The sequence below is a fragment of the Homo sapiens genome, chromosome 1 (genome assembly GCF_000001405.40).
Source record: "Homo sapiens chromosome 1, GRCh38.p14 Primary Assembly".
Taxonomy (NCBI): Eukaryota; Metazoa; Chordata; class Mammalia; order Primates; family Hominidae; genus Homo; species Homo sapiens.
This window is the reverse complement of record NC_000001.11, coordinates 58,500,542-58,523,997: the sequence shown is the minus strand read 5'-3', so window position 1 is coordinate 58,523,997 and position 23,456 is coordinate 58,500,542. Positions and strand designations below refer to the sequence as shown.

Sequence of the window (23,456 nt, the reverse complement as noted above, 5' to 3'; positions counted from 1 at the left end):
ATGAGAACGCTTTTTCTGGATTGGTTCCATCCATGCTTTGTTCCTAAAGTTAAGAATTATCTTGCCAGTAAAGGCTGCCAGTTCTTTTTTTCTTTTTTTGAGATGGAGTCTCGCTCTGTCACCCAGGCTGGAGTGCAGTGGTGTGATCTCGGCTCACTGCAAGCTCTGCCTCCCAGCTTCACACCATTCTCCTGCCTCAGCCTCCCGAGTAGCTGGAATTACAGGCACCCACCACCATGCCCGGCTAATTTTTTGTGTTTTTAGTAGAGATGGGGTTTCACCGTGTTAGCCAGGATGGTCTCGATCTCCTGACCTCGTGATCCGCCCTCCTTGGCCTCCCAAAGTGCTGGGATTACAGGTGTGAGCCACTGCGCCCGGCCAGGACTGCCAGTTCTTTTTACATTCTCAATTCCTCTGGTCACCTGGAACCCCATGAGTTCAACACTGAAGGCGTCCAAATGGTCTACTTGCCCCCAAACACAACATTCCTAGTTGAGTCTCAGATCAGAGGGCCATAAGGACCTTTAAGGCTCAGTACAACAGGGTACTTTAGGGAAAGGTTGTTACTGCTATTGAAGAGAACCCCGATAGAACATTATGAAAGTCTGTAAGGTTTACACCACTGAAGATTCCATCATTGTTATAGAAAAAGCCATGAAAGCCACCAAGCCTGAAATAATAAATTGTTGATGAAGCAAACTATCCAGATGTTGTGCGTGACCACACAGAGCCAGTCAAGGAAATGATGAAAAGATTATGGATATGGCAAAAAAGGTGGGGAGTGAAGGGTTTCAATATACAGATCTTAGAGAAATTCAAGAGCTAATAGAAACACCTTATCAGGGGAATTAACCGTGGATGACTTGATGGAGATGAGTGCTTCCAAAATGGTGCCAGGTAGAAAAGACATAGTAGTGCCAGAAAACAAATTGACATTAGACAATCTAGCAGAAGGATTCTGATTATTCAAGACTACTTTTGACTTATTTTACAACAGAAATTACAAAGTATCTCCATTAAGTTACACTGATTATGCCTGCCTTTCCTGTCTCCCGTTCTACCTCTGCCACCCCTGGAACTGCAAGACCAACTCTCCTCTTCCTTCTCAGTCTACTCAGTGTGAAGATAAGGATGGAGACATTTATGATGATCCACTTCCACTTAATGAATAGTAAATATATTTTCTCTTCCTTATGGTTTTCTTAATAACATTTTCCTTTCTCTAGCTTATTTTATTGTAAGAATACAGTATATAATACATATAACATACAAAACATGTTAATTTACTGTGTTACTGGCAAGGTCAACAGTAGGCTATTAGTAGTTAGGTTTTGGGGGAGTCAAATGTTACATGTGGATTTTTGACTGCACAGAGGGGTCAGTGCCCTTAACCTCCATGTTGTTCAAGGGTCAACTGTACTTTTTAATTTTTGCTTTATTGCAATAGCCAAAAACTTTAGTACAAAGTTGGTGATGGGCAACTTTGTATCTCCCTGATCTTAGGGGCAAGAAAGCATTCAGTATTTCACCATTATGATGTTTGTTGTAAGCTTTTTATAGATACTTTTTTATCAAATGAAAGAGTTTCTCTTCCATTTCTAATATCCTAAGATTTAAAAAAATTATGTATATATATTAAATTTTATCAAATGCATTTTCTGCACTTTTTCTTCAACTTTAAAGTTCCAGGGTACATGTGCAGATGTGCAGGTTTGTTACATTAATAAATATGTGTCACAGTGGTTTGCTGCACAGATCAACTCATCACCTAGGTATTAAGCCCAGCATCCATTAGCTATTCTTCCTGATGTTCTCCTTCCCCCTGCATTTTCTGCCTGTATTGAGATGATTATATGATTTTTCTCCTTTAATCTGTTATTGGGCAAATTACATTAATTTTTTTTAAAGTTAAGTTGCATTTTTGGGGAAATATACCTAATTTTGTCAATTATCCCTTAATATATTGCTAGAATTGGTTTAATGCTTAGTTTAGAATGTTTATCCTATGTTCAAAGGAGATAGTCGCCTAGAATTTTCTTTTCTTGTAATGTCCTGTCAGGTTTTGGAATCAAAGTTATGCTGGCCTCATAAAATTGATCAGGGAAGTGTTCTTCATTTTCTCTTCTCCAGAAGAGTTTTTGTAAGATTAGCTATATTTATTTTTTAAACGTTTGGAGAATTCCTGGGTAAAGCCATATGGGCCTGAAGATTTCTTCATGAGTTTGTCTTTAATTATGGATTCAGTCTCTTTAATAGATATAGAACTATTCAGATTTTTCTATTTCTTGTTTCAGTTTTTGTAGTTTTTCTAGGAATTTTTGTTTAATTTTCAAAATCATTGGCATGAAGTTGTTTTAATATACTCTTATTATATTTTAATGTCTGAAGGATACCTGTTATTTTACATGTATCTTTTAAATGTCCCCTTTGTTAATATTGGTGCTCTTTGTCTTGTCTTTTTTTTGCTAGATTTTATCACTTTCATCAATCTTTTCAAAACCATCTTTTGGGTTTGCTTATTGTCTCTATTATATAATTGTTTTCTGTTATGTCAGTTACCATTTTTTTTCATTATTTTATTCTGCATTCATTTTTTGGGTTTCATATGTGGTTCTTTCCCTAACTTAAGATGAATACTACTATCATTTATTTTAAACTCTTTTTTTTTTCTAGTACATACATTTAAGGCCGTACATTTTCCTCTGAGAGCATCTTTACTTGTCATGTTGCAAGGGTTGATATGTTATTTTTTCTTCAGTTTAAAATGTATTCTTGTTTTCGCTGTGGTTTCTTCTTTGACCCATGGGTTATTTAGAAGTATATTGCTTAGTTTTTGAACATTTGATGATTTTAAAGTTACCTTTTGTTTTCGATTTCTAGCTTAGTTACACTCTGATTGGATAATATACTGAATGACTGGAATCCTTTGAAAAGGGTTGGGTCTTGCTTTGTGGCTCAGGATGTGATCAATTTTGTCAAAATGACGTGCACTTGAAAGTGGATCCTGCCATTGCGGGTGGTGTTCTGTGGATGTCAGTTTTGCCAAGTGTGTCAATTTTGTTGTTTCAGATCTTCTATATTCTTGCTGATTTTTTTTCCTTTTTTTTGTAGTTATCAAGAGAGGTTTGGTAATATTTCATTATGGTTGTAGATTTTTCTTTTTTCCTTTTAGGGCTATTAATTTTTGCCGTGTACATCTTAAAAGTATCTTTAATATACATACTTGTTAGATTGTTAGATTTTCCTAGTGGATTGGTCCTTTTCTTGCAATAAAATCACTGTCTCTAGTAATACTTCTTGCCTAATGTCCACTTTTTCCTTTTAGTATTGTTATTTCAGCTTTCTTTCAGTTAGTGCTTGCATGGTAAATCTTTAATATTCTGATTTTCAAACCTCCTGTGTTCTTGTGTGTGTAGCCCTTGTAAACAGAACATTGCTGTTGTTTTTATCTTTGCCCTTTTTTGGGGAAAAGTTAGTCTATTTGTTTAATTTGCATTTCTTATTTGTAATTATTTATATAATGTGGAACATTTTTATGTGTCTATTGGCACTTCATTTATATTCCTTTGTGAATTATCTTCTCAGATATTTTTCCCATTTTCAAATTGGGCAAGGAAGTTTGTGTTCTTATTCTTGAGTTGTAGGAGTTTTTCACATAAGTGCTAGGTGCAAGTTCTTTGTCAGATATGTGTCTTGCAAGTGTTTTCTTTCATTCTGTGGCTTGCTCTTTTATTTTTTATTTTTTTCAACGTTTAGGTTCCAGGGTACACGTGCAGGTCTGTTACGTGGGTAAATTGCACGTTGCTAAGATTTGGTGTACAAATGATCCTCTCCCCGAGGTAGTGAGCATGGTACCCAAAAGGTGGTTTTTCAACCCTTGCTCCCCTCCTTCCCCCTTCCCTCTGGTAGTTGCCAGTGTCTGTTGTTCCCATCTTTGTGTCCATGTGTAGTCAATGTTTAGCTCCCCCTTATGAGTGAGAACATGCAATAGGCTAATCACTTAACCTCTGACTGTCCATGTATCAGAATGTGTTTTCCACTACCTATCTTGAAGTTCATTAATCTTATTTTTAGCTGTATTTGTTCTACATTAAATTCGTATTTGAGTTTTAAATTTCAGTTACTTTGTCTTTTCATTCCAGAATATCCCTTTGATGCTCTTTTATAAATTTCACTTCTCTGGTGAAATTCTCCATTTTGTCATATGTTTCTTTGTTTATATTTTCTTGAATATGTTAATCATATATTTTTTTAAAAATTCATGTTTCTTAACTCTAATCTCTGTATTATAGCTGGGTCCGTTTCTGTTGTCTGTTTTTGGCTTTGGTCTTGTTTGTTGGCATCGTTGCTTATTTTTGATTGAATGCTGGATGTTTCATATAAACAGTTCTGTTGGCTCTGAATGATATATTTTTTTTTTCCATCAGAGGTATTCTCTGTGCTAAGTGGTCACTTAGAGCATAGCAGATCTCTTCACTCATTCAGAGCCTGAGGTGAGTTTGCATAGGCTGGGATGATGAGCTCTACTGTAAGATTGTAGGACAGCGATCTAGCTCTTTCTTTGGGGAAGCTTCCCATAGAATATATATTGGCCTTTCCTCTGTGGTCATTCACGTGTCTGCAGATGAATCCTGTAAAAACTGGCTGTTGGATGTACCCCATTTACCCTGATGTGATTACTATACATTTCATGCCTCTATCAAAATATCTCATGTAACCCCTAAATATATAACCTACCAAGTGCCCACAAAAATAAAAAACAAGTAAACTGGTTTGTCAGTGTTTGAGGATTGGCAGTGGAAAAGGGAGTAGGGTTTTCCCATTCATTGTGGAGACTTTTAAAAATTCTCTGTTATGACCCTTATACCTCAACCTTTCTTTCTTGGAAGTCAAATACTAAACCTTTCTGGGGTCTCTGCAGTGTGGGGTAATCAATCAATTGCCAAAGAAGCGAGCAATAAGTGTAGAGATAATGCATGAACTCTGGAACCATACTGCCAAGTTTGAGAATCTGCTTTCCCAGAGAGAGTACTAGCTGTGTGATTATGATCAAGTTATTTATCCTTTTTGTGCCTCAACTTTTCTCATCTGTAGGATAGGAACAGTATTGGACCTATCTCATACACTTAATATAATTAAAATTCTTAGAGCTCGTGTCTTTTAATCATTTATCTTAAAAGGACTGTCTGCTATCTCCTCTTCTTTATTTCACAGATACATTATCTCAAACCCAGTATGTTCAATATTAAATTCTTAATTTCTCCCTACATGTGTTTTTCTTCTGGTCTCCCTTTTCCCAATGAATATACTACCCTCTATTCAGTTGCTTTTGGAAAAAAAACCCTGGAGTCCTCCAGGGTTTATAGATAAAGATATTCGTTCTTTATCATTTACTCTTAATTTTTTCACCAAGTCCTGGCAGTTCTATCTATAAAATATATCTCAGTATGTTCCCATCTCCAGTACTAGCATCTTTTACCTAAACTTCTGTAGCAGGCTCATGATAGCTTTCATTGACTCCAGTCCTACTCCCCTCCATTCCATTCTCCACCCTGCCACAAGTAAGAAACAGATCCAGTAAGCTATGATGATATTCTCTTTTCTTTTTTCTTTTCTTTTCTTCCCTTCTCTTCTCTTCCCTTCCCTTCTCTTCTCTTCTCTTCTCTTCTCTTCTCTTCTCTTCTCTTCTCTTCTCTTCTCTTCTCTTCTCTTCTCTTCTCCTCTCCTCTCTCCTCTCCCCTCTCCCCTCTCCCCTCTCCCCTCTCCCCTCTCCCCTCTCCCCTCTCCCCTCTCCCCTCTCCTCTTTTCTTTCTGACAGAATTTCACTTTTGTTGCCCAGGCTGGAGTGCAATGGCGCGATCTCAGCTCACAGCAACCACCACCTCCTGTGTTCAAGCGATTCTCCTGCCTCAGCCTCCTGAGTAGCTGGGATTACAGGCATGTGCCACCATGCCTAGCTAATTTTGTATTTTTAGTTGAGACGGGGTTTCTCCATGTTGGGCAGGCTGGTCTCGAACTCCCAACCTCAGGTGACCCACCCACTTTGGCCTCCTAAAGTGCTGGGATTACAGGTGTGAGCCACTGTGCCCGGCCTGATACTCACTTTCTTAAGATAAGGCTTTAAGAAGACATTGACCAGAATTTTCCTCCAGACTTTTCCCTTTCTCACCTGACCAATCCCCTACTTTGGATTGACATTTAACATTAATACAATCAGAAGACAGTTTGATCTTACAGACCTAGGTGCTAGCTCTTCTCTGATCCATTATGATGATTTTCATTTATTAATTGAATGTAATTAACTTCCAGATTATAGGGATACATAATATCTTCATGACATTAGAATTCAAGAGACAGAAATTTAATAAATAATTTTAACAAAGTTTGAAGTATTATGAATTGGAGATACAGGAAACATTCATTCCATGGGAGAATGTAGCAGAGATGTAACTTGAGGGATCTCTCAAGTTACATCAAATTACATAGGAAAACTTAGTCTTGGGATTAGACTGAGAAAGAAATAGATAAAATGGAGATCTGAAAGATAAATAGTAATTATCCTGATGAAGATGTTGATAGGTGTAGTGTTTGGCATGGTGTGTTCAAAGGCAAGAGAAACAATGGCTTATTCCAGGAATTGAAAATTTGTTGTGGTTAAAATGTCAACAGAATTCAAGAGCACCAATGGCAACAGATAAAACTGAAGGATAGGCAGAAACTTCTTTATTAGCAATTTTAAGGATTTTACACCTTGTCTAGCATAGGGGTCAGGACTTTGGGTTCAGTAGTCCAGATGTGTGTTTGAGCTCTTGTCTCCTCCACATGACTGTAGCAAATCACTTAACCTCTTCAAATCTGTTTTGTAGTCTGACTAGTGAGAATCATGATAGTACTTCCATCAAAGAGTTATTTTGGGTATCCTGGACTTGATTCTTATTTGTGGCTTGTATCCTTTTTTTGGACCTTGATGCATCAGACTCCCTTGACTTCTTGCCATTGTAGCATTCAAATCATGTCAACATAATCCTCCTTTTCCTAATTCTCTCCTTCCTAGGCAACCTTCTGATTACAGCCTGGCTTCCTCTGTAGCATGCCTAAAAGGGAGAGAAAGTCCTGACCCAAGGACATAGATGCATGTGCTCTTGCTGGTTTGGGCAGCTGTAGTTATCTCTGTAAATTAAGAAGTTGGCATTCTGATTTTATGTCAATCTTGTGAGCTTGGTTACTGGGAACTATTTCTGAGAGATGGTTCTATTGGTCATATGCAGTCCCATTGGATTTATGAGGTTTCAACGTGCAAAATTCACAAAAACGATGTTACTCATGAAGCCTCTTTCAAAGTAGGCAGCCCACTTTCCCTAGGGTTCTCTGCTGCTCCTCTGCTACTGGCTATGAGTGATTTTATTGTGCAAATTTATGTTTTTATAGGAGTTCTTTTAATTTTTCATTTGGAAGGCATTTGTCGTTATATAAATTATCAGAATGATTAATATAGAATTAATAATCACTGGTAAGACCAACATGTAAATTAAGCATAGAATAACAAGCTGTTCAGTCTTCAGCTGACAAAAGAGGTCCTGTTAAGTATTTGATCTTTTGGGGTATGAATATTCATTTGTCACTGTAAAGAGCTTTTGACACTTTGCAGTCATTATAGAAATGACTTTTTAAAAATTTCACAAGCAACTAAACTATCAGTTTTAATTTTTTCGTAACAGTTTCTTAAGTTTGGAAAAGAAAACTGATATTCTTTTAGTGGTTCTGAACTGGGCTAGCCTTCTAGGATGACATGGTGTATGATTGTTTTTGATTGTCATAGTTATTGGGGAAGTGGGGGGAATTATTGATGTTTAATGTGAGGGAAAAGGGGATAATAAATATCCTATAGTGGCCTGGAAAGCACTCACTGGGAGTAATCCCCAAAGCCTGTTAAGTGGCCCTTTTGGGAAACGTGGCCTGCTAGTTTCCTCAAGTAACCTGAGATAACTGTGCCAATAGCACCATCTAGTGAGGGCATTAGGTAATAAGCAAAATCTATTTTTCATCACAGAAATGAGAAAATTTCAAATTCTAAACTTTATTTAAAATAGTACCTTGTAGAATCATAGACTTTTAGAGCAGGAAAGAAAATTGGAGCTAATTTAATCTACCTTCTCATTTTACAGATAAGAAAACCAGAGTCTAAAGATGTAAAGTGATTTATCTAATAACCTATACCTAGTTAGTAGGAAGACCCTTAGTTCTTATTTTTCAGGTTAGTATTCTGAGCTTTCATCACAGCAAAGTATCTTTGCGTTTTATTTGGGTTACTGTTTTAGGTTCTTTGCTTAATGATTCTTTTAAGAAAGAAAAGAATCAGTAAGTAAGGAGACCATCTTATTTAATAGGTATGTTGTAAAGTAACTTTCATAATGCATACATTATTTGGAACTTAATTTTATCACCCAGAAAAATGAGACAGGCTTGTGTGTATTCATCTGATTTTTCATTGCTATGATTTCAGCTGTTGAGTCTTATGATAAAACTTTACCTAAGATAGAGGGAAAAAAGTAACATGAAAATTTATTAAAACTTAATTTATTATATTGATTGGTGAAATGACCTGCTGGCAATCAAAAGATGCAGAAAATTGAGCAAAAAATTAAGATTAAATGACCAACATATGTCTTTCATTTTTATGTTGGAGCACATGAAGTATTTTTGATAAGTTTTCTCTTGGTGTGAGGGATTGGCAAATGCTGAGAATGGCTTAGCTGAAATTATCTCAAGATTATGTTGCATTTAGTTGGAAAAGAGCAATTTTAAATTATTTCCTGGAAAAATGTTGTTTAGAGAATAAGTGGGTTACAAAATAAAATGAGCTTTAAGAAGTGATGCCATCAGCAATATTGGAAAATGATGAACCTGTGGAGGTATGTGAGACTGAAATGAACTAGTTTCTGGTAGATGATGACAATGATGATTGTAGTGTATAATAATCAATAACATTTTTAATGTGCTGGGCACTGTCCTGAGTGTATTACATGTATTTATTCTTTTGATCTTCATAACAACCCTGTGAGGTATAGGTAAACCTGAGGGATGGAGGAGTTAAGTAACTTGGCAAAGCTCTCATAGACAGTAAGGTTTCCCTCTCCCAAAGTGGAGGTACATTCATTTCTGAAAGGGAACTTTCCATCTTATATTTGCCTGCTGGAAACAATTTTGGTTTTCTGCAGTATTGCTTCTAAAATAATGATCATTTTTATATCTGTTTTGGTCCCTTTACATCTTATAACAGCCTCAGTGTATTTTTCTAGCTGTAGGAGCCCAGCTCCCCCTGCCACAATCCTTTGTAGTATTGTCTCAGATGATTATTTTACCTATCACATGTCTATGTGGAATACAGGAGAGGATGCTACAATGACTGGGACAAGTGTAGGGTGTTAATGGTTTCCTAAAAAAAGATTCAGATTCATTCAGTGTCAGGATTTACCTTTGGAAGGGGGTGATGGCTAACAGGAGCTTTGTTGGAGTGTCTAGTGAATACAGACAGCAAAATTCAGAGATACTTTTCATCTTTGCATTTCTAATGAAAACGTTGGCTACAGGTAACGGTACAGTTAGGCTTTTACTTGGTCTAGATCTATTTATACATATTTCTCTAGTATTGTTTTGGCATTGGGAAATGGTGAAATTATAAGAACAATTTTTATACTGCTGTATTCTTTATGAATATCATATCCCACTGAATTTATAATTTAATAGTAGCAAATTCTTTCTCAATATGTTCCTTAATGCATATTCATATACATTTATATTCTCTGGATTGTACTAGAACCTTCTTGTAAATTCATGACATCATCACTTAGGACCAAACATAGCATTTTGCAATTACCATAGGCCTCCAGTTGCTCACCAGGGGAAAGGAAGGTAGAAATAGTGTCCACTATGTTCTGAGTCCTGGAATGGCTGCTTTGCAAGAATTATCACATTTTAACTTGACAATTCACTGCTTTAATTTAGTTTTACAGATGCATCTGAGACTCCTAGAGACTAAATTATTGACCCAGGGGCAAAAACTCTGTCACCAGACTACTTGTGTTCAAATTATGGCTCTGTCACTTACTAGCTGTTTGAGCTTTGTCAAGTTATGTAGTCACCATGGATCTTGGTTTCTTCATCTAATCTGTAAAGTGAGGGTCATAACAGTACTTACCACATGAAGTTGTTATGAGGATTAAATGAGTTAATATAATGTGTTAATATTTGTAATACACTTAAAACAATGCCTGGCATGTGGTGTCATATAAGTGACTGTTAATAAATAAAATAATCAGTATTTTGAACCCAGATATTTCTGATTCTAAAACCTGTAGTCTCTCCATTATCTTAGTTTACAGTCTCAAAAAATATTCTAGGACCAAAGTATTTCACTGACACATATTTTCTTATGTTTCTCTGGCCAGCGGTAGCCATTATTAGTTCTGTTTTTAAGAAGGAAAGGTTACCTAGAGTCTAATTCTTTCTTCGTGTACTTACAGTTGCTTAATAAGTTATTTAGTTCAGTTCAATAATTTTATTGAAGCAATGAGTTAGACTGAATTAGTTGCTGTATTAGTCCATTTTCACAGTGCTGTAAAGAAATACCCAAGACTGGGTAATTTATAAAGGAAAGAGGTTTAATTGACTCACAGTTCTCCATGGCTGGGGAGGCCTCAGGAAACTTATAATCATGGTGGAAGGGGAAGCAGGTATGTCTTACATAGCAGAAGAGAGGAAGAGTGTGTAAGAGCAGGGAAAACTGCCTTTTAAAACCATCAGATCCCATGAGAACTCACTCAGTATCACGAGAACAGCATGGGGGAACTGCTGTCATGATCCAGTCACCTCCTACCAAGTCCCTCCCTCGACACATGGGGATTACAGTTTGGATGACAGTTGTTGACGAGATTTGGGTGGGGACACAGCCAAACCATATCAGTTGCTTAATAAGTTCTTAGTTTTCTATAATACTTTTCTTGAAGCAAAAGAATTAGACTTGTGATAAACTGAGTATTTATTTTAAAAATGCCTTTATTTTGGTCTATCGTTACTTTTTTTCTCTTTTTTAGTAAGTACATTTAACATGAGATCTACCCTCTTAAATTTATAATTTTACAACACATACTTAACTATAGGCACATGCTGTATATCAGATCTCTAGATCTTATTCATTTTGCAGAACTGAGACTTTATATCCATTGAATAGCAACTCCTCATTTCCTCCTACTTCCACTCCCTGACAAACACTATTCTATTCTCTACTTCTACAAGCTTGCTACTTTAGATACATACCACATGTAAGTGGAATCGTCTCGTATTTGTCCATTTGTGACTGGCTTATTTCACTTAGCTTAATGTCCTCAAGGTTTATCCGTATTGTTGCATATGACAGGATTTCCTTTTTTAAGGCCAAATAATATTTTGATGTATGTTTATACCACATTTTCTTAATCTGTTCATTCGCTGATGAACATTCAGGTTGTTTCCACATCTTGGCTATTGTGAATAATGCTGCAATGAATGTGGAGTGCAAATCCCTTTGAGATCCTGATTTCAACTCTTGGATAAATATCCAGAAGTAGGATTTCTGAATCATAATGATAGTACTTTTTAAAAATTTTTTGAGTAATCTTCATATTGTTTTTCATAAAGTCCACACCATTTTATGTTCTCACTGACAGTGTACAAGAGTTCCAGTTTCTTCACATCCTTGCCAACACTTAGATGTCTCTTTTTTTCAATGATAGATAACCTAACAGGTGTAAGGTAATATTTCATTGTGATTCCAGTTTGCATTGCCCTGATGATTAGTGATATTGAACATTTTTTCTAATACTTGTTACCTACTTTTGAATGTCTTTTTTGAAGAAATGTCTATTGAGATCCTTTGCCTATTTTTTAAATTGGGTTTTTTGCTATTGAGTTGTAGAAATTCTTTATATATTTTAGAAATTAACTGTTTATCAGTTATTTGGTATACAAATGGTTTTTCCCATTCTGTAGATTGCCTTTCACTCTGTTTCCTTAGCTGTGCAGAGCTTTTTGGTAGTTCCACCTGTCTATTTTTGCCTTTTGTTTCCCGTGCTTTTGGTGTCATATTCACAAAATCATTGCCAAGACCAAAGTCATGAAACTTTTCCCTTATATTTTCTTCTAGGAGTTTTATAGTTTTAGGTCTTACGTTTAAATCTTTAATCCATTTTTAGTTGGTTTTTGTGTGTAGCGTAAGATAAGGGTCCAGTTTCATTCTTTTGCATGTGAATATTCAGTTTTTCTAGCACCATTTGTTGAAGAGACTGCTCTTTCCTCATTGTGGGGTTTGTGTGTGTGTGTGTGTTCGTTTTTGAGACAGGGTCTTGCTCTGTTACCCAGGCTAGAGTGCAGTGATGTGATCACAGCTTACTCTAGCCTCGACTTCCCAGGCTCAGGTGATCCTCCCACCTCAGCCTCTTGGTGCACAGGTGTGTACCATCACACCTGCCTAATTTTTTGTAGAGATGGTTTCACCATGTTGCCCAGGTTGGTCTTGGACTCCTGGTCTCAAGCAATCCATGTGCCTCAGCCTCCCAAACTGCTGGGATCACAGATATGAACCACCATACCTGGCCTCCCATTGTATATTTTTGGTACCCTCATCAAAGATCTGTATTTGTGTGGGCTTAATTTTGGGCTCTCTCTTCTGTTCCATTCATTTAACGGTTATCTTTCTGCTAATACTATACTGTTTTAATTACTGTAGCTTTGTAATATATTTTGAAATCAGGAAGCATGATGCCTCTAGTCTTACTCTTTTTCAAGATTGCTTTGGCGATTTGGGGTTAGTTGTGGTTCCATGTGAATTTTAGGATCGTTTTTTCTGTTTCTATAAGAAAAGTGCCAATGGGATTTTCATAGAGATCTCATTGAATCTGTAGATCACCTTGGGTGGTATGGATATTTTAACGATATTAAGTCTTACAATCCATGAACATGGGATGTCTTTCCATTTATTTGAGTTGTCTTTAATTTCTTTCATCAGTTTTTTTTTAGATACTTTTTAGTGTAGAAGGCTTTCACCTCCTTAGTTTGGTTTAATAAGTATTTTATTCTTTTTAATTTTCCTGTAAGTGGAATTGTTTCTTAATTTCCTGTTTGGATAGTTTGTTGTTAGTGTGTAGAACATAACTGACTTTTGTATGCTGATTTTTGTATACTAACTTTACTGAATTTATTTATTAGTTCTAGCAGGGTTTTTTTTTGTGTGTGTGGAGTCTTTAGTTTTCTACTTATAAGATCATATCATCTGCAAATCATTTTACTTCTTTCTTTCTGATTTAAATGCCTTTTATTTCTTTCTCTTGCCTCATTGCCCTGGCTAGGACTCCCAGTGCTGTATTGAAGAGAAGTGGCAAGATTGGTCATTCTTGCCTTGTTCCTAGACTTAGAGGAAAAAATTTTTGTTTTTCACCATGAAGTGTGATGCTAGTTGTGGGCTTTTCATATATAGCTATAATTATGTCGAGATAATTTTTTTCTATTTCTAGTGTTTGAGAGTTTTTATTATGAAAGGATGTTTAATTTTGTCAAGTGCTTTTTCTGCATCTATTGAGATGATCATGTGTTTTTTTATTCTGTTAATGTGGTATATCACATTAATTGATTTTTGTGTGTTGAACCATTCTTGATTACCAGGAAGAAATCCTCCTTGGTCATGAGGTGTGATCCTTTTAATATGATCTTGAATTTGGCTTGCTAGTATTTTGTTAAGAATTTTTGTATTTATGTTCATCAGGGATATTGGCCCGTAATTTTTTTTTGTAGTGTCTTTGGCATAGGTATCAGGGTAATGGCTGGCCTCATAAAATGAGTTTGGAAGTGTTTTCTCCTCCTCAATTTTTTGGAAGACTTTGAGAGTCATTGACATTAATTCTTTAAATGTTTTTGGTGGCATTCACCAGTGAGGTCATCTGGTTCTGGGCTTTTCTTTGTTGGGAGGTTTTTTATAATTGACTCAATCTCATTAGTTATAGATTTGTTCATATTTCCTATTTCTTTTTCAGTCTTAGTGGGTTGTATATTTCTTGGAGTTTATCCATTTCTTCTAGGTTATCCAGTTTGTGGGCATATAATTGTTCAGAGTAGTCTCTTATGATCCTTTGTATGGTATCAGTTACAATGGTATGCTGTAATGTGTCCTCTTTTGTTTCTGATTTTGTTCACTTAAGTCTTTTTTTTTCTTACTCTAACGACTTGTCAGTTTTGTAAATCTTTCCCCAAAAAGCTCTTAGTTTTAATTTTTTTCTATTTTTTTATTCTCTGTTTTCTTTATTTATGCTCTAATCTTTATTATTTCCCTCCTTCTGTAAACTTTGGGCTTAGTCCTTTTTTTTTTTTCTTTTTTGGTAGATCTTACAGGTATAAAGTTAGTTTATTTGCTTGCTTTCTTCTTTTTTTTTTTAATGTAGGTGTTTATCATTATAAACCATCCTCTTAGAACTGCCTTTGCTGTATCCCATCAGTTTTGTTATATTGTGTTTTCATTTTCATTTGTCTCAAAATCATTTTCTTTTTGGTTTTTTTTTCCTTGACCCATAGGCTGTTCAGGAGTATGTTGTTTAGGAGTGTGCTTCAGAATTTCTGTTTAGTACTTTTTTACATTTTCTGTGTCTTTGTTGAAATTCTCACTTTGTTCGTACATTGTTCTGACCTCTTTGAGTGTCTTTATGATGGTTATTTTGAATTCTCTTGTTAGATAAGTAATATATTTCTCTTTCATTAGGGTCAGTTTCTGAAGATTTATCTTCATCCTTTGGTACATATTTCTCTGTTTATTTTTTTCACTCTTATTGTTGATATCTACACATTAGGAAAAAACAGCAACCTCTTAGCCTTTACAGACTGTCTTTGTACAGGAGAAGATCTTCACCAGTCAGCACAGCAGAGATTCCCAGAACCTCTCAAACCTTCATGCTAGTCCAAAGTGCTGTCTTTGTTCTTAGTGGTGCCTAGGTGTCTAGGGTCCTGTCTGGTCCATCTGGTCCATATGCTGGGTCCTATCAGTGCTACAAGACAGATGAGACAGAAGCCAGTCCCTTGGACAGCCCTCAGAAATGTTAGAATGTTGGACACGTGATCTACCTCTTTCCCGAGCCCTGCCCCAGGAGAAGCTGGGCTCTGGAGTTTCTCTCCAACTCATTTCATGCTGAGCTTCAGGGAGTGGTCATGGCAACTGCTTGTGTGCTTGTTCAAACTTCTGTCACATTATCACTGGCCCCTAGATATCTAGGGCGTTTTAGATTCCATCAGTGCTACAAGGCTGGCAAGACAGAAGCCAGTTCCTAGGGCAGCTCTTAGAAAAGTTGGAATGTTAGATACACAAGCCAAGTTTTTCCTTCCCCAAGGAGTGGTGGGGAGCTGCAGGTGTTCTTATGATCATATGGTGCTGTATTGGGGGTACATAATTGCTCTCGCAGATTATGGCAAGAGGGTGTCTCCAGTCTTCTACCAGGTTTGATGTTGTTCATTTCGTACTTGTGCAGGTGCAGAAGCATTGCACCTAGTTTCAGGATTTCTCACAAAGGGAATTCGTATATTATCGTTGAATCAGTGTGTTCATGTGGGGAAGGAGGGTTTAGGGCGTCCTATTCTTCCATCTTGCTGATGTCAACCTGTTACTTATTTTTCCTAAATTGGAAAAATGTAAATAAAATACTCATTTTGGAAACAAAATTATCTGACTTTAGTGGCTCTTTGAACTGGGTTTGAGAAGTACAGACAAACTCAACACTCTTATCTTAACATTAAAGTAGATATCTCAAGTCCCCTTTTAATACTTTTAGCTTGGAATACTTTCTAGTCTGTAGGGATAATTAATTTCTTTTTCTATTTCTGCATATCAAATATTGCTTTAAAGATTCCCTTCAGCTGTGTTACTTAGAGATTGAATAGGGAAATATTTTGTCTTTTGATTAACAGTTTTAGGCTAAAAAAATTAGATAAGTATGCCTTTGGTTTGTGTAGCAGACAAACTTCATGTTAGATAATTCGTGAATTTGTAGTCCATTCAAATGTTTATCTTCCAGTTTTCAGAGGGGTTTTTTGTTTGTGTTAGAATTCTTTCAAGTCATTTTATATTTTTATGAATTATTTGAGAAGAATACTTGTTAATCTCAGCCTGTATTTTTATTGTGAATGTGATTACCTATTATTGAGGGGCATAGTCCTCTGGGTGTTTCTAATTCAGCATCAAATAATTATTTCTTTATAGATACATATGTTACATACATATTTTACACATAAGCACACACACATCTTGCATATATAGATATGTATTTATATGTGTATAAACATGAATAATATTTATGTTTGTTATATACATTTATCTTGTATATTCCTGTTTATATACATATAAACATGTATATCCATATCTGTGCAGTAGTGTATAAAGTACCTTGAATTCTTTTCAACTTAGAATACTCAGAGGTCTTAAGGAATTATATTTCTTTAAATATTGAATAAGATTTACTTGAATTTAAAATTTTTTATTTTGCTAACATTTGGAAATGCTTTAATGGTATTTGTTAAGAAATGATGTAGCATGGTTGTTGACTAGCATGCAGTGTTCTATTAATATATTTGCCTTTTGGGGTTTCACAATTACACTATTATAAATCTTTTTGAGAGTACATTTTAGTCAGTATAGTATATATATTTTTTCTTAGTTTTAATCAAAAATAAAATCATTGGGAAATATAACCACTTGTTTTCCAGTTACTTATTATAGAAAGAATAAGTTAAGAAATGTGAATAAATTGAACAAATTAATAAAATATTTGTTAATAATCCACCTTATGGAGGATTTAAAAATAATTTTAATTATAAAATAATGTATTTTAATATAGTTCAGAAATAAAAGTGTTGCTCCCTCTCCACTATCAGATACCTCAGGTACATTCTTAGGGTAGTTAACAGCTTCTTAAATAGCTTCTCAGATATGTTCTGTGCATATACAAGTATATACGTATGAGTATGTATATGAGTGTATGATGGAATTGTACATACACAAGATCTACATATATTCTTTTAAAAAGTACTAATGTACTTTTATATTGTACTTTTATAAGGTATTGTGTTTTATAAGGTATATGAATTAAATATATTGTCCATATACATTGAGAAAATTGGGTAAATTGATGTGCATAATAAACATGTCATCTCTTTATGTTTATTTGAAGTTTTTTTCTGATTGTTCTAGTGGCATAGAAGTAAAGTTTCTTTAATACAGTTTAATAACATTATATTTTAAAACTTTATGAAAACAGAATTTTTAATTTGTGTAAAAGATTTTACCCTTAATACATGTTCTTAATATCCATCATACTGAAAATAGTGGGCTATCTTTGGTTAGCAGGGTTATTGTGAATGTTGTATATGGGAAGGGCAGGCATTCTGTTATTTCAGTACTGTGATACCATGTTGTTTGAGGTGGGTCTTTTTCTAAGCAATGGGCATGTTCTACTTTTATTAAAGTGATGATAGAAAATGACTTTAAAGCATGTAGTGACATAAAGTTGTTAGGAGATATAACTAATGCTAAATGACGAGTTAATGGGTACAGCACACCAACATGGCACATGTATACGTATGTAACAAACCTGCACGTTGTGCACATGTACCCTAAAACTTAAAGTATAATTATAATAGAATTAAAAAAAAATAAAGTAGTAGTTTTTAAAAAATCCTCAAAACTGAGCTCATTGTGTGGTTTTACTAATTTTGGTTTTAGGCTTGTGCAGACATAAGAGCCAGTTCAGTGTTTTGGCAGCAAATGGAGTTCGTTGATAGCCTGCATGGCCAACCCAAGATGCCAGAATGGTTATCTACACACCCTTCTCATGGCAATCGAGTTGAGTACTTGGATAGACTTATACCTCAGGTGAGCTGACACCGTAGAAGGCGGGACATTATTTTTACTGTATCATTTATTTTTAATGCTGTCACTTCTTTTGCTTAGTAAAAGAGAGTTCTAGCCTATTAACTATTTTGATTACTATAATTATGGATTATCAGTTGTCACAGAATTTGACTGAAAAGCAAAATTCTGCTTGTCCACAAGTCTTGGAGAATAAATTACTATGTACAGTTGACTTTTCTTAATAGTGAAGGTTTAACTCCTTTAGTATGAGACTTTAATTTTAACTGACTTGATGAAAGTTTAAAACTCAAGGCATATTAAGTTTTTTAAACATGTTGATGATAATTTAATCTTTCCTTGGTGATTTAAGCTTTTTGTTAAAAATACCAGTTAATGAGTTGTACAGAAGTTTTGGGTCAAGTGGATATTAATTGTAGTAGTGGTACTGGAATTTGTTTTTTTAGGAAAAAAAATCTTCATGTTTGTTTCTGGTTATTTATTTCTTTATGAAGATAAGAGTGAAGCATTTGCTCTCTGGCTTTTCTTTCTGTAGAATTCATAAGTGGGTCAAGCTGAGGCGGCTTTCTGCCAAGTAGTTTTCAGTATCCTCTGAAAATCTTTTGATTTGTTGACATCATTCAGAATGTTTTTATGGTTTCCATATCAGGACAAAATGGATGTTAGGCATCTCTGAGCCACGTTACACGCTCTCTTCTATCTCACTTGTATTAAATTTGGTGGCTTGTTATGAAAGCGGAACATTTTTTAGCAATTTAAGAATTGGTACTGGGCCATGTGCTAAGGCATAGCACAACAGATCCAGGTGTATTATAGAAGTATCTTTCTCATGCCTGTTATCCCAGCATTTTGGGAGGCTGAGGTGGGTGGATCACCTGAGGTCAGGAGTTCGAGACCAGCCTGGCCAACGGGGTGAAACCCTGTCTCTACTGAAAATACAAAATTAGGCGGGCGTGGTGGCATGCGCCTGTAATCCCAGCTACTCGGGAGATTGAGGCAGGGGAATCGCTTGAACCCTGGAGGCAGAAGTTGTAGTGAGCCGAGATCGTGCCACTGCACTCTAGTCAGCGACAGGGTGAGACTCTGTCTCAAAAAAAAAAAAGAAGTATCTTTCAGTATGACTTCAAATTCAGCCCAACAAATACGGAGTACCTCTTAAAAGAAAGAAATGATGCTAGATGTGGGGGATACAAAGAGGAATAAGATATGGTTCTTGATATTTACAGGATGCTAAGATAAATAAAAAATGATTATTAGTACAAGGATATGATTTATCATAAGAAAAATAAAAACGGTATGCAGTTTGAAGGAAGATGAATCTGCTTCTAGTTTGGGATAAGAAACTCTAGTGCAAGATTTATTCATTCATTAGGTAGATCGATATTTATTGATACTTATTGATTAATCTACTATTCTGTGTTCTATTGCTGGGGAATGAGCAAGGAACAAAACAGTCTGTTTTCTTGGAGTTAACATTCTAGTTAGGTAATGCAAATAAGAAACAAACATATAGTATGCCAAGCAATAATAAGTACCTTGGGAAAAAATAAAGCAGATTAAAGGTATTAGAGAGGGGTGGGCAGCAGAGAAGGGGTACTAGTCTATGTTCGGTTGTCAAGGAAGGCCTCACTAATCAGAATCCGGAAGGAAGCACGGGAGCAAGTCCTTTAGCTGTGTGGAGGGAGAGAGAGCCTTTTAGGCTGAGGAAGCAGCTGATGCAGAGAACCTAAAGTCAGCGTATGTTTGATGTGTTCAAGGAATAGCAAGGAAGACATTGGGGCTGAATGGAGTAAGGGAAGGGAAGAACAGTTCAAGATGAGGTGAAAGGGGACCAGACCACGCAGGATCTTCTAAGCCATTGTAAGGACTTGACTTTCACTTCAAGTGATAGGAGAAGCTAGTTGAGGATATTGAGCAGAGGAGTGACTTGATTTGACTCATGTTTTATTGTGATCACTGGCATTATTGTGTGGAGTAGACTAGTGGGGCAACGGTGGAGTCAGGGAGACTTTTTAGGAGACTCTCATAATCCTGGTAGGAGATGATGGTGGCTTGGACCAAGATATCTGGTAGCAGAAAATGGGGAAAGAATCAGTCAGATTCTGGATATATTTTGAAAGGAGTGATGACAGGATTTGTTGGTAATTTAGGCATACTTCGTGCCTTTTGTGAGCATTGAGGACAGCCAAGCATGGCTTCTTAACACCTATTTTAGTTTGTTCAGGTTGCAATAATAAAAATACCATAGACTGGGTGGCTTATAAACAACAGAAACTTACTTCTCACAGTTTGGAAGGCTGTGAAATCTTAGATCCAATTTCCAACAGATTTGGTGTCTGGTGAGGGCCCACTTCCCAGCTCATAAACAGCCATCTTCTCCTTGTAACCTCACATGGTAGAAGGGGCAAGGGAGCTCTCAAAAGCCTCTTTTATAAAAGGGTGCTAACCCATTCATGAGGGCTCCACCCTTATGACAATCGCCTCCCAAAGGCGCTTACCTCCTGATACCATCACATTGGGAGTTGGAATTTCAACATATAAATTTTGACAGGACACAGACATTCACTCTATATCAGCAGCTATCTTAACTAGATTTCATTTGTATTCTTAATTTGAAAAAAAAATTTGAGAAAGAAATAGCAGTGAAATTTACCTGATATAATATGTAGTAATTATTCCTCTTAAAAGGGTAGTATAGGCATGGGACATTATGTATTTCTTCAGTAACTGACTTGTACTGAGGATCACTGACTATAAGAGGGTCCTTTGTGCTATCCAAGGCCCCTGGGACTTTATCGCACCCTGGGAGGCCTGGGCCTGTCTCTAAAGCAATGATAACAATATGATTTTCTCTTGAATTTTTTTTCTTTTTATTTTCGCTCAATGAAATTCTAAAAATATGTGGTTTGTTTAATTGGATAATAAATTCTGTTAGCCAACTTTTCATGTGAAGACTCCTAAATTCTGAGTTGTCATTTCATCATCAAATTACTGAGCATCTTCGGAGAGGTAAAAACTGTGCTTTAGAGATGTCTTTAAAATAATAATGAATTGATTAGTGAGTAGGAAGAAAAATGGCTAGAGAAACAAATTTTATTTGGGAGCAAATGATGAAGACAAAGACGTGAGACATTTTTCTTCTAAAAATAAACTATCCTAGTTCAGAAACTTAATTTGAAAACCTCATATAATTTCTTATATTCCCCACCCCAAGTGATTAAATTCAATTTGAAAGTAATAAAACTCTATTGCAATATTGGGAATAACTCAGTGGTTGAAGTGAAACTGATAGTACAAGGGTATATTGTTAATTAGAATATACAGTCATAACTCAAAGATTGGAATTCCCTATTATTGTAGTCTAATTTCTGACATATAATGAAAGAAGGCAGTTTCTCAGGCAGTATATAGAATTATGTGAGTCTGTATACTACTACTACATTTTGAAATTATATTTTATGTAGCATGCTCTAGTGAGTATGTTATGTTCTACCTAAGGTTCCTGTCCTTTGACATCTCTAGCAGTATGGTGAAGTTATGTTCCCCTCAAAGGCAGTTGAGAATACAGCACTAGAGAGCACAGACAAATCCAGGCCAGAGATGAAGATTTCAGAGTTTCAGAGTCATCTAAAAAGAAGTGATAGTTGAAGCAATGAGAATGGATGAGTTCACGTAGGAAGTGATTAGAGAAAAAGATCAAAGTAACAGTATTGCATATTTTCCACATTTAATGGGTGGGAGGAAGACAGAGCCTGTGTTGGATCAGATTCATAGGAAATCAAGAAAGCAAATAGGAAACCAAGAAAGCAGGATTCTGTGGGTCTGTGATTAGAACACAAATTTTGATCATTTTGATTTTTAAACTTTAGCTTATTGAAGATTGTATATTTTTATTTCTTATTGGATCCCTTGCATATCATCACAAAAATGTATTGTTTCTTACTGTAGCTTATCAACTTTTAAAATGTTTTAAATTTACACTTTATGCATTCAACAAGTATTTATCAGTCATCTGTTATATGCCAGGTTGTAGGTGATGTGAAATAAATAGACAAAAATCCCTGTCCTCATGAAGCTTATTCTGCAGTAAAGGGAGACAGATAATAAATTTGGTGCTGGGGGCGGGAGTGGGGGGCAGTGAGGAGGGAGAGGCAGCTCTCTTATGTCTCTTTTTATAAAGCTACTAATCCTATTCGATCAGGGCCCCACCCTTCAGACCTCATTAAACCTTAGTTACCTCCTTTTAGGCCTTATTTCCAAATACAGTTACACTGGAGGTTGGGACTTCAAAATATGAATTTTAGAGGAACACATGAGTCCTTAGCACACAGTTATGTGTGAGCAGAGATGGGAGGGGTGCAGGAATAGCAGTGTAAAATGGGGTCCTTCAGCAGTCAAAGAAGGTTTCATTGAGAAGCTGACACTTGAACACAGATTTGAAATAAGTGAAGGAACCAGGCTTGTGGCTGTCTTGGGGAAGAGTACAAGGCTGTGGGGCAGGAGCAACAAGAAGAAAACCAGTGTGGGTGGAATGGGGTGAGCAAGGGAAGGGGGAGGGCGTGGGCCTTATCGCCCCTGTAAGGACTTTGGCTTTTGTTCACAGAGATGGGACAATAGTGGAGGGATTTGAGCAGAGGACTGGAGGAGTGACAAGGTCACTTATGTTTGAAAATGATGTGATCTACAGCTCCTGCAAAACAGTACCATAATATAATTTTGGATCATTTTAGCATAATATATTGTTCAGAAAATAGATGAGTTCCTTTCTTGCTTTAAGTCAAGATAACCCATCACATTAGAAAAAAAAGCAAACCTTTGCTTTTTTAAATGTGAATTTCAAGATAAAACATGTATAAATTGCCTAAATATAATCTTGTGATCCATTAGCATTTAAAAAGGATAAATACAGGTTTGTAGCAATATTACTTGTAGTTAATAAGCTGATATGTTATAATTCTATTTACTTGAAATAATCAGTTAAACACATATTCCACATATTTTGGTTATCATAACAACTTGGGTGAAAAAATGAAGAGCAGATGTTGTATCAATTTGTTGATGTTTAATAGTATGACAGTTTTAAAATTATAGTTACACTGTTCAGACTTTATGTATATTATAATTTGTCGTTGAAAGAGACACCTTATTTAACTTTTTTCTATGAAGATTGTTATAAAATATGAATAGATGTGAATAAGAGAAATCTGCTTCAAAGATTTATTTTAAAACTGAAAACATTTAGACTGAATTTCTTATTCTCCACTTCACTTACCAACCCTGTTTCTCTCCACCATCCCCTCTTTGTTGGGTGAAGGGTATGGAGAATGATAGAATGTATAGGAAAAATATTTAATTTGAACTTACTCATTGTTTATGGTTATGTTTATAGTCATAATTTGAATAGGATATATTTTTAAATGTTTTTAGAGCTTTCAATACTGGCTTTATTCAGAAACTTAAAAAAATCTTTATCAAATTCACTTCATTCAATTTTTAGATATCAGAATCACTTGGTGGCTGC

At 35.7% G+C, this 23,456-nt stretch overlaps 2 protein-coding genes across 2 annotated transcripts in view; both read left to right on the top strand.

Moving 5' to 3' along the window:
* The window catches only part of DAB1 (DAB adaptor protein 1), a 1,551,949-nt gene that overhangs the window by 22,729 nt on the left and 1,505,764 nt on the right, over nt 1-23,456 (top strand). Inside the window, exon 3 of the mRNA NM_001379461.1 lies at nt 17,789-17,938. The gene's annotated coding sequence lies outside the window, so the exon portion shown is untranslated. The remainder of the gene's footprint in view (nt 1-17,788; nt 17,939-23,456) is intronic.
* The window catches only part of OMA1 (OMA1 zinc metallopeptidase), a 66,008-nt gene that overhangs the window by 22,729 nt on the left and 19,823 nt on the right, over nt 1-23,456 (top strand). Inside the window, exon 8 of the mRNA NM_145243.5 lies at nt 17,789-17,938. Within this exon, the coding sequence (NP_660286.1) occupies nt 17,789-17,938 (150 nt within the window). The remainder of the gene's footprint in view (nt 1-17,788; nt 17,939-23,456) is intronic.